General features: G+C 48.3%; 3 annotated features.

Moving 5' to 3' along the window:
- Positions 4–263: a silencer, noted in NCBI's record as "silent region_17675". NCBI's record gives its function as "represses an Ori minimal core promoter by ATAC-STARR-seq in GM12878 lymphoblastoid cells {active_cell/tissue: GM12878}" and the evidence as "EXISTENCE:reporter gene assay evidence [ECO:0000049][PMID:35858748]".
- Positions 1,084–1,799: an enhancer, noted in NCBI's record as "H3K4me1 hESC enhancer chr6:150327472-150328187 (GRCh37/hg19 assembly coordinates)". NCBI's record gives its function as "activates a minimal SCP1, AML or CMV promoter by ChIP-STARR-seq in primed H9 embryonic stem cells {active_cell/tissue: H9 hESC(primed)}" and the evidence as "EXISTENCE:reporter gene assay evidence [ECO:0000049][PMID:30033119]".
- Positions 11,694–11,933: an enhancer, noted in NCBI's record as "active region_25270". NCBI's record gives its function as "activates an Ori minimal core promoter by ATAC-STARR-seq in GM12878 lymphoblastoid cells {active_cell/tissue: GM12878}" and the evidence as "EXISTENCE:reporter gene assay evidence [ECO:0000049][PMID:35858748]".

The following is a 12,030-nucleotide window of genomic DNA, read 5'->3' on the forward strand; positions in this document are numbered from 1 at the left end:
CGCTCCGCCCCGTCCAGCCCCGTTCCGCCCCGCCGCAGGCTGGGATCCAAGGGGCGTGATCCGACGGCTGCCTTGTTTGGGCATGCTCCACCCCGCCCTGCTCCGGGGCTCGTCACGTGACAGCGGCCCCGGCGGGCGAACCCTCCCCCTCCACCTCGGCCCCGCGGCTTGGTGGCGGCGTCACCGGGCTCCGCGCGGGGCAGGACACGGTGCCTTCCATGACTGCCTCGTTTAATTTTTCAACACAGCATTTATCATTACCCCAATGTAAACACTGATGCACAGGAAGGTGAAGAAACTTAACAGGAATATACAGTGGCGGCGGTGACCCCGTCACCGCCTGCGCCAGCGACACACCCCCTCCCTCCGCCTGCGTCGCGGAGTCCCCGACCCTCTCTGTCCAGCGCGCAGCCGCCTCCCCAGTCCAAAGCGGACCTTCTTTGCCTCTCCACTAAAAGCATGAGGAGGTCTTTGAGTATATTCTATATCCCTTTATGACTTTTGGAAAAAAAAGAAAAGAAAGCCCTAGAGGCCTACTGTGATCAACCATCATGTGATCAATTGTGTTTCCATGGAGAGCAGAACCCGATAGTAGGGGTCTACGCATGGGTGGGGCTCACTTTGCTGCACTCCCATCTATGTCCAACCACACCCAAATCCATGGCTGTATCCGCACCTCGGCTCAGTCCCTGGATGGTCCCTGTAACCATCCTCAAAGGGGACACTCGAGTGCGTCCTCCTCTGAGTCACCATGGAACCATCTAGATCTATGGACAGAAGCCAGAGGGAGGTGGGGAGCCCAGTGGCCTCTGGTGGCAAGGGAGGGCTTAGCCTGGGGTGAGGAGTGGGCAGAGCTGAGCCCACTCTACCCCCGGCCACTCAGCCCGTTCTCCATTGAATGAGTCTTCATGTGGGGAGAACTTCACCTGGTGACCAGCAATCCCTAGGGTCCTGAGGCTGTGGGAAAGAGGAGGAGGCCTGGACCAAGCCCAGGGCCTGTCTCTGCTTCAGGACAGGGTCATGGGAGGGCAGCCACCTCTGTGACTGAGCAGGGACACAGGAGCCTAGAAGGTTCTCGCCTGATGCACTAAAGCCACTGTCCAGGAAGGGCCACATGGAGAGCGGTCTGCAGGCCAACAGACACACGGGGGTGAGCAGTTCTCAGACTTCGGAGGGGCATAGCTTGGTGGGTCTGGGGATCTGTGTTGTGAGAAGAGCCTCCCATGCATAGGGCTGGGGACAAGGAACCCGGGTTAGTCCTGGAAGTAGGCCACTGGGAAGACCCTGGCAGCACCACTCGTGAGGCTGGGTGACCTGGGCCAGTGACTGGGGGAACAGGAGGAAGGCAGAAGGAGGCCAGCAGGAGAGCCTCCAGCAGGATAGCCAGGTGAGAGGAGAAGGGGCCTCTGTGCACACCTGGGCCCTCCTGCCTCACCCCTGCTGCCGGCATTTGGCCACCACACTCAGGCCAGCCCAGGATGGGCATAGAAGTGGCCCAAAAGTGACTGTAATGGCTGTGATTTAGAGATCATGCATTCAGACATGGAAGTCAGCTGATATTGCAGCTGAATATTCCTGTGCAAGGTTCTTCAGCTTTCTGGGCATGGATGTCCGCATGTGGAAAATGACAAATGCTATGAACACAGATGAAATGAGCAGATTCTACAAGGAACCCTGTCCTTGCACATGCTAAGGACCCAGGGCAGGTCTCCTATTTCAGTTGTGAGCCCTGCCGCCCTCCCTGAAGTCAGCAACTGCCAGGCCCACCCTGAGGAGAGCTGGAGCTCTGAACCCAGGCCGCGGCCTCTTCATGGCCCTGAGTGTGCTGTGAGGGGGTGGAAATGAAAGCGAGACCCGCAATCAGGACTCAGGCATGTTTTTCAGACCCACAGAGGATGATTTTTTTCTCCATCACCTGGTGAGCCTGACATGATGTAAGTGTGGTTGGAGGCTGAGTGAACCAGTGAATGAATGAGACAGTTGTGGGAGTGAGTGGGGCTGGGAGGAATAGCACAGGTGCAGAGGGGAGCTGGAGCGGAGGATGTAACCTCCAGGGGCCTGAAGGTGGCAGCATTGAGGTTGGTAAAATTTTTTTGCCCATTTTTCGTGTTTTAGTTTTTTTTTTTTAATTATACTTTAAGTTCTAGGGTACATGTGCACAACATGCAGGTTTATTACATATGTATACATGTGCCATGTTGGTGTGCTGCACCCATTAACTGGTCATTTACATTAGGTATATCTCCTAATGCTATCCCTTCCCCCTCCCCCTACCCCGCAACAGGCCCTGGTGTGTGATGTTCCCCTTCCTGTGTCCAAGTGTTGTCATTGTTCAATTCCCATCTATGAGTGAGAACATGCGGTGTTTGGTTTTTTGTCCTTGGGATAGTTTGCTGAGAATGATGGTTTCCAGCTTCATCCATGTCCCTACTTTTTTTTTTTTGAGGCGAAGTCTTGCTCTATTGCTCAAGCTGGAGTTCAGTGGGATGATCTCAGCTCAGTGCAACCTCCGGCTCCTGGATTCAAGTGATTCTCCTGCCTCAGCCTCCCAAGTAGCTGGGATTATAGGTGCCTGCCACTGTGCCTGGCTAATTTTTGCAATTTTAGTAGAGACAGGGTCTCACCATGTTGGCCAGGCTGGTCTCGATCTCCTGGCCTCAGGTGATCCACCTGCCTTGGCCTCTCAAAGTGCTGGGATTACAGGTGTGAGCCACTGCTCCCGGCCACAACTTGGAAATTTGTATGCCCACCTGGGTGTCCACAAAGATTTTCCAAGGAAGAGTAACTTTGGTTTTCAACCAGTCTGGGGTGCTTCATCAGGATAGAAACTTCTAGAAAACATAGTGTGATGATGGACAGCAAACTGCTGTCTTCATATGGTTTGACTGAGCCTAGGGCGCACCATGGCCAGGAAAATCTTGCCTTTGTTATTGTTGTTGTCATTATTATTATTATTATTATTTTATTATTTTTGACGGAATCTTGTACTGTTGCCCGGGCTGGTATGCAGTGGCACAATCTTCGTTCACTGCAACCTCCACCTCCTTGGTTCAAGTGATTCTCCTGCCTCAGCCTTCTCAGTAGCTAGGATTACAAACACCTACCACCACACCTGGCTAATTATTTTTATTTTTATTTTTAGTAGAGACGGGGTTTCACTATGTTGGCCAGGCTGGTCTCGAACTCCTGACCTCATGATCCGCCAGCCTTGGCCTCGGAAAGTGTTGGGATTAAAGCTGTGAGCCACTACGCCCTAGCCGAAAATCTTGTATTTAAGCAAAAAAGGAATGAGTCTGAAAGCAGGAATGGCATTGGGAAAAGATAAGGGGGCCAGGAGGAAAGTGAAGGAGAAAAGAAGGGTTAGGGTCTGAGAGGGAGCCAGGATCCAAGTATTTCCAGCCCCAGGGCCTGGAGTTGCAAGTGGGCGGGGCGGGGCCACTGGAGCTGTGACAGCATCGAGAGCCTCGGTGACTCACGTGGGGGCCCTCTGTTTCCTCCGGGTGTGTCACGCCCTGGGCTCCAGGTCCCCAGTGGCACAGGTGCTGGCACAGAGTTGGGTGTCTGCATCCAGCTTCTGTTCCTGGTGCCAGGATGGTCCAGGGTGGGTCGGGTCGGTGAGTTCCAGGCTGGACCCTAAACAGGGGTCATGGGGGTTCTTGGACTGCAGGGAGGCCAGGAGGAGGGGAGGCTTCTGTAAGCTCCTGAATGTCTCCCTGGAATGTAATGCAGCATTGCAGGCTGGAGCCAGCCTGGCATGGGGAGAGAGATGTGAGACTGATGAAGAGCGTGCAGCCTGATTTAAAGCCAAACCCTGAGTCCTTTCCAAGAACTATAAAGCATATTGTAGTCGCTAAAAGAAACAAATACAAAAAAACAAAGTAGCCTTTCTTGGCAGATACAGCACCTTTTATTTTTAATCTTTACATTTAACATTGCCTTTTTAAAATACTGTATATTATTCGATATTTTAAAATCCAACCTGGGAGTTTCGCTGATTTATGTGATGAGTTTAGTAATTCACGTTTATTGTTAATTATTACTGTTTAGGATTTAGCTATGCCATTTTTTTATTTTTTATTTTTTTTTTGATACTAGCTCTCTCTGTTGTCCAGGCTGGAGTGCAATGGCGTGGTCATAGCTCACTGCAGCCTCTAACTCCTGGGCTCAGGCCATCTTACTGCCTCAGCCTCCGAGTAGCCAGGACTACAAGCATGCGCCACCCACTGGGCTAATTTTCTGTATTTGTTTGTAGAGATGGGGTCTGCCTATATTGCAAAGGGTGGTCTTGAACTCCTGAGCTCAAGCGATCCTCCCACCTCGGCCTCCCAAAGTGCAGGGATTACAGGCGTGAGCCACTGTGCCTGGTGCACATGTATTTATTGTGTTTTTTAATGCTGGCATTTCCCCTCCGTAGCTGTGTTCCATTTAGTATACTGAGGGTTCTTTTCTGTTGGTTTAAAAGTTATACATTCTAGTTTTCTTCTCAGGGTGGCTGCCCTTAACCTATGACTCATACCAATATGTATTCACATTTATTGGTATTATTGGTTTTGTTTTATTCCTAATTTTAGAAGTCTCAGCATGTTTTCCTATCCCTTTCACGTGCCACCTCCAGCCCCATTTTCCTGATAATTTTCCTAGCTGTAATTCTCGGTTATTCTTAGCTACACTTCCTTGTTTCTGTGATCCTAACTTCACATTTCCCCTTGTTGTGAGATAACAGTAATCTGGAATGGATTCCTTGGTCACTTGTCCTCCTTGGTTCTCTTGTCGCATCTCCTGTGTTTCTCTTGCTGTTGAGGTACCTTCCTCTGAACTATTTCCAACTTGGATCTTTAGGAGGCAAATATCCTTCAGGTTTTCTATAATTTCGAATATTTCTAATACACTGCAGTGGGTAGGATTTGGAAGCTGCCCCTTCAAGTTTCCTGTACCTTTTCTAGAACGATATGTTATAGAAAACACTGATGATAGGACAACTAACCACTGTCTTAGCCTGTTTCATTGAGCATGGAGCATACCAGCCGCAGGAAAATCCAGTATTTTAAGCAAGGAAGGAAGGAGTATGAAAGTGGGAATGCAAACGGGAAAGAAAAGGGGGGCCAGGAAGAAGGGGATGGAGAGAGTAAGGGGTGAGGGGCCTAGAGAAACCAGCTGCTCCTAGTCTAGGCACCGCTAGTCTAGGTACTGAGAGTCTAGGTACCGCTAGTCTAGGCTCTGCACAGTCATAATTAAAGCTACTCATCAGTTAACCTTAAAATAGAGAGATTTTCCTGGATTCTCTGAGTGGGCCCAGTGCCATCACATGAGCTCTAAAAAGCAGAGAATTTTCTCAGGCTGGAGCCAAGAAAGATGCGTCCAATGTCAGACAGATTCTAAGCATGAGAAGGATTTCATGCACTGTTGCTGGCTCTGAGATGTGGGGGCCATGAGCAAGACTGGAGAGGGGCCTCTGGGAGTTAGGGAAGGGCTGCAGCTGACAGCCAGCAGGGAAGCTGGGACCTTAGTCCCACAGGTCCAAGGACTGGATTCTGCCATCAACCTGAGTGCACTTGGAAGCAGATGCTTCCCAGAACCTCCCAACCAGAGCCCAGCAGGTGGACACCTTGACCTTGACCTTGAGGAACTGGGAGCAGAGAAACCAATCAAGCCATCTCAGACTTGCAACCTAGAGGACTGTGAAATAATAAAGATGTACTGATTTAAGCAGGTAAGTATGTGGCAATTTGTTATGGCTGCAACAGAAAAGATACCTTCCTATTTAAATGAGAATTTGACTGGATAAAAAATTCTAAGCTCAAGTTCTTTTCCTTCATATTTTAGAAAGAATACTCCGTTGTTATCTTGCAACCAGGGTTGCTGTTGTGTAGTCTGTTGGCCAAGTGTTTCCTTCTTCCTTCCATTGTTTCTCTGGGGTAATATGGGTGAGGGAGCCAGAAGCCTGAGCTTCTTTCCTGTCTTCATCCAGTGGATTTGTACTGTTCCAGGCTGTTAGTCACAGTCTCAAGGAGGTGGAGAATGGTTTCTAGTTTAACCTACCTTTTCATAGATGCACTTGTAGATCAGACAAGCTTATTGTTTTTCTCTTATTCAGCTACTGTTAGTCTTCTCTCCTACCACCTTTCATAAATATTAAACTTACTGAGACATAATTTACAGACAATACTCCTTTGTGAACATAGGAGCTTAAAGTCTCTTATCTTTAGGAGTATATTGAAACTTGTAGGCATTTGGCCGTATTATAAGGCATGTTCCCAGGCTATAAATGTTAAATAGTTGAATGATATTACTTCAGTCATGCATCATCTTACCAACCTGTCAGTTCTGTAGAAAATCACATTTCTAGCATTACTTGCTTCAGGTTTGCAGGAGAGAAAAACAACAATGTTTTCACTGAACATTGGCTTTTAGACAAAATGAGGGCTAGAACTATATTAAATTCATTTTTACTTCCTATCATTTCTGTATTTTATAGATTTCATAAAACCGGCCCACTGTCTTAAATTTATTACAATTTATGACAGATATCTTAGTAAAATACTCCATCCCTTTCAGTTATTGGAAACACTAATGAATTCTAGGCTTAAACAATAAATAGCACATTGTAGAACAGCAGTGCTGTTTCAAAACTGAACTCAGTTGAATTAATCAGGCATGACAAGATGTTTTTATGATTCTGACAGAAGCTTAATGAACAATGTTAAATAGATTTAAACACTTTTTTATAATATATCTAAATGGTGTGAATTATGGTAACACTGCCTTTGAGAAGAAATCATCAATTTTGGATTTCACATACAGGATGGCACCCTAGGAAAACGTTAAAAAGTCAGGAGAATTGTACCTTTAAGACTGGAATTGACTAATGAAAATATACATTACCAGAGAAACCTCCTGGGATGCCTGGACATTTACTTGTGATGCGAGCATTTTCCTGCCTAGAAACAGCAAAACTGACTGTTTAGCTGTAACTGGCAGGCACCACATGCCATAGCAACAACAGAGCAAGAAAACCAGGAAAATTTATTTTTAAGTCCGTGCCTGATAATTCTAATTTTTTTTTTTTTTTTTGAGACAGAGTCTCACTCGCTGGTTAGCGCAGAATTACAGTGGCATGATCTCGGCTCACTGCAACCTCCACTTCCTGGGTTCAATTGATTCTTGTGCCTCAGCCTCCTGAGTAGCCGGGACTATAGGCGCGCACCACCATACCCAGCTAATTTTCGTATTTTTAATAGAGAAGAGGTTTCACCAGGTTGGTCAGGATGGTCTCGACCTCCCGACCTCAGGTGATCCACCCACCTTGGCCTCCCAAAGTGCTGGGATTACAGGGGTGAGCTACCGCCCCCGGCAAGATCATTCTAAAATCTAAAGCTGCAAAGTCTAACCCAGCAGTTACTAGCTACATGAGGCTATTAAGAGCTTGCAATACAACTAGTTTAAATTGAGAAGTACTGTCAGTATATGGTGCACACCAAATTCCAAAGGTTTAGTATGAAAATGTCAAATGTCTCATTATTCATTTTTCCATTGATGACATGTTGAAATAATCATTTTGGTTAAAAAAATTTAGTTAAAACATATTGAGTTAAAAATGTTGTAAAAATATATTTCACCTGTTTCTTTTTATTTTTTTCAGTGTGTTCACTAGAATATTTAAAATTCCCTGTGTGGCTCACACTTGTGGCTTGCATTATATTTCTATCAGAGGACTGATCTAGAGGTTCCATGTATTTTCTGTCTCTGTTGCACATTTCAGCTGGTTCTTGTTGTTGCTATCTTATCTCCCCATGTGGTTGGTTATCTTTGTCTATGTTCTGGATACAGTGTTTTAAAAATTGCTGTTGACAGAATATAAAGTGTAGGATGGGCTGGGCATAGTGGCAACCGGGGCCAGCCATTCTGCCAGGCTTGGGAACTGTGCTACTCAGGAAACTTTTCTCATCACCCACCCCAATCCTGTCCCAGATTGGAGGAGCAGTAAGTGCTGTGCCTAGGCTCCCTGTCTTCCCAGTGCTCCCAGCATCACACCAGCTCCTCCCCAGTTGCTGTGGGGTCCCGACTCTCCATGTTCACCATGCTCCCAAAATTGGCTCCCCATCTTCACTGCCCACAAAGCATGGTCCCAGCTCCTCCAGGGTCACTGCCTGACCAGGTGGGGGTTGGGTGAAGAGGCAGAGATCAAGACAAGACACTTGGTCCAGTTTGACTTCAGGTTCTTCACTGAAACGTGACTGCATTCCACATCCTGTTCCTCCGGCAACCTCAGCTGGGACGATGTGTAGGGCAGTGTAGAATGTTGGCGGGTGATGACCAATTCCTGCCACCATGGCTTTTCAGCTATATTGATTTTTCCTAAAACGGACAAACAGACTGGCAATAAGTTATGGAAATACTGTTTTCTTTACTAACAGTAGAGATGTGTACATGTATCAATGCTGATTTTTAAAACAAATATAAGCCCATAGGCACTCTGCTGAACGCAGATTCTATCTCAAAATAACACATTTTCAAGATCTTCCAATACCTGCACATACAGATTCTTTTCCTTTTTATCTCTGCACATTACATAGAATGACTGCATCACAACAAATGTTACCAGTGTCTGTGTCTGAAGATCCAGATGGTCTCCAGTCAGTTACTTTTAGAGAAACTAAATGCTGCAGAAACTGTGCTTGCATGAATCTCAATTTAATTGTGTAGAATAGATTTGCAGACACAGAATTGCTGTGCAAATTAATGCACCTTTAAAGCATCTCATGTCACGGATGGCAATGCTGGCGACACTCTTGTCTGTGATTGTGATGACCCAGCTTGGGCAGAGGATGGTGAAACATCCACTATAGTGGGAGGGGAAACTGAAGGACAGGGAGACAGGTTTCATCAAGAGCAAAAAATATCCAAGTCTGAATGAAGAATATCTATACATATGCGTTTGAAATGGCATAAAGACTCCCTGGAAAGATTCAAAGAATCCAATCATGTCTCATTCCGGGCTGTGGCCAATGAGATTGGATGCAGGCAGGGGCGGGGGAGACTTTCACACATGACTTTTCATGGTTTCGATCCTGAAACACGTGAAAATATGTAGGTGAAGAAGTAAGAAAGAGTGGGGCCGGAGCCCCAGGGAGGGTCACCGGATGGGCTCGCCTGATCTGTTGTGGGCCCCGAGGGTCCTGGGACGCGGAACCCAAGCAGGGGCGCGCGGGGCTGCCTCAGTGACGAGGCACTGGTTCTAGATATTTACCAAACGGTGTTGACACACCGGGGATGTTATAGGCGATTGCTGATTTCAACCACAGATGACTTTGGGGGAAAGTTCGCTCCTGGGGGTTTCAGTTTCGACCCCTCCGCGTCCATTCTGGCTTCTGCGGGCTCCGCCCAGGGCGTCCGCTTCGCCCGAGCTCCGGACCCAGGTCCTGCCCTGTGGAGACCCCGGAGTGGGTGCGCCGCTGCCGGCCGATACCCCCGGGCCTCCGGGTCCACAGCGTCCGGAAAAAAACGGCCTTTCGAAGACCTGGGATGACTCGCTGGTCGCGGCAAGGGACCCTTGGTTCCCGTGTCAGAAGGATCAAGGAAATGCGGGGCCTGTTGAGGTGAGGAGCACGAGGTCCCTCCTTCATCCTCGCGGGGACTTTGTCACCGGCTCAGTGTGTAGACCTCACCGTCCCACTCGAATCTGTGGGGCTCCGACAGTGTGGGCCCCGCGAGGACCCCCATCCTCCTTGCCCTGGGGCCGCTACAGGAGGGCGCCGGGACGCACTAGGTCCTGAGTGTCCAGGGTCCGGCAGGGGCGTCAGGTTGTCGCCTCCCGGATCCCGCCGCTCGCGGTCCAGGGCTCCTGGTTTCTACGCTGGGCTGGGGACCCGGAGCATGCATGTCGTGGGGCGGAGAAAACCTTGGGATGGTTGGAAATGAAGGATGGGAGGGAGAACCAGAGAAAGGGAGAGGAAGGAAGCAGGGAGGGCCAGAGAACAAAGAGAAACCTCCGCCAGGAAAACGGGAAGAGGATGACACAGGAACAGCCCTACACTCCACCAACTCTCAGTCTCCTGCTCTCTGCCTTGTAAGGAACGCAGGCCCCACCCCCTCCAGCCTCACAGTGTTTGGGGTCACCCATTCTAGCGGGGTGAGGCGTCGCCTTGTGGGTGCGGTTGGCATTTCCCTGAGGTCTGTGGACACTGAGCCCCTTTTCCTGGGCTCACTGCCATTTGCATTCTTCTTCTGATGCCAGTGGGCAAGGGGAGGTCCCTAAACGCCGGTTGGACCGCGACCCCAGCCGGTGCGGGGCTCTTGGCAGCGCTTGGGGAAGTGAATTCGAAGACCAGTAGGAAAATAGAGGAAGGACGGAGATTTATTGTAAAAGGAAAAGTACACACTCAAGTAAAGGGAGTGCAGGGGAACTCAAGAGAGAGGCAGGTGCAAGGGGGTTTGGTGCTGCCACCTTTCCTGGTTTCTTCAACCAAGGGGTGGAATATTCATGAAAATTCCTGGAAGAAGGACAGGGATTCTCAGAACTCTGGTGCCTCGAATTTTTACACCAAATATGGGTATTCTCAGAACTGCTAGGGAGCTGGCTAGTGTGTGTTTAGTGTGTTTATCAGCATGTAATGAGGTCCCAGGTGAAACCTAGGTCAAATCCAGGGCCATGTTGGATCCACTCATTCTTAGTCAGCTTGGTCCACATGCTGTTTCTCAGCAACTTATCAGCCCAGAGCCACTGCAGATATTTCAACAGATTTCTTTTGCTAGTCACCTGAAACTGCTGCCCAAAATTTTCTATTCTTTTGAGACCACCGTGTAGTATACCTGTCTCACTTTGGAGAAATGTCTATTCAAATTCCTTGCATATATTTAAATTGGGTTATTTCCCTTTGTAATATTGAGTTGGAAGAGTTCTTTATATATTCAGAATAACAGTCCATTACCAGATATATGATTTTCAATGATTTTCTCTCGTTCTGGAAGTTTTTTTTTAATCTTCTAATTGGAGTTCTTTTGGAAGCACAAAAGTTTTACATTTGCATGAAATGAAATTAAACTACCTTTTATTACGCCATTTGTGCTACTGGCTACAGGGAACGAGGGGTGGGCAGGAAGCCCCCTGGAGTCCCTGACTCCCTCCACAGCAAGTCAACCAGAAAATCAATTCAACATTCATACATGCATGTTATCTCACACACACACACACATGCACACACACAGAGACATGCAGGCACAATCTCTCACACACACTCACACCACACAGGCACACACATTCACAGAGACACACATACACAAATGCATGCAGAAATACAGACACAGCCATGCACATACACGGGCACACAAAAAGACACACAGAAACACATGGGAGAAACTGCGTGTCATCTTGAGAGTTGTCATGTCGAGCCCATCCTGCCCACACACCTTTCACCTTGGGGGCTGTCTCCCAGCTCATGAAGGAGTTCTGAAGCCATCAAGCAGGCAGTCACTGTGTGATCTGAAACACTCAGACAGCTCCTCACTCTGATCTATCTTCCTGGTCCCCTTGGGATGAAGCAGCGTCCTGTTGGTTTTCACTGCAGCAGAAGAGAATCCTCCCCCAGGGCAGAACTGCTGGGCCACCAGAGTACCCCTCTGCTCTTTGCCCTCAGGGCATCTTGATCTGCAGGGTGGGAGGAACTGCCCCAGTCCTCAGAAATGAACTCTTTATGGATTCCTCTTCCACCATGATGTCAATGTCTCTTTTGTCTTCTCTAGCCCTTGGCTGTGGATCCCAGGTTGTGTGCCAAGGAGCTCAGGGCACAAACTCGCTGTTGGCAAACCCTCTGGGCTTATTGAAATATTTGAAAGATGAACAGTGCCATCTGCTGGAAAAGACTGGAAAGTACCAGTCCAAGGTATTTCATAGTTCCAACATCAGACTATGCACCATTACAGGTTACAGGTATGCACCACCACATCTGGCTAATTTTTGTATTTTTAGTAGAGACGGAGTTTCACCATGTTGGTCAGGCTGGTCTCAAACTCCTGACTTCATGATCTGCCCAC

The sequence above is a fragment of the Homo sapiens genome, chromosome 6, assembly GCF_000001405.40.
Source record: "Homo sapiens chromosome 6, GRCh38.p14 Primary Assembly".
NCBI classification, from domain to species: domain Eukaryota; kingdom Metazoa; phylum Chordata; class Mammalia; order Primates; family Hominidae; genus Homo; species Homo sapiens.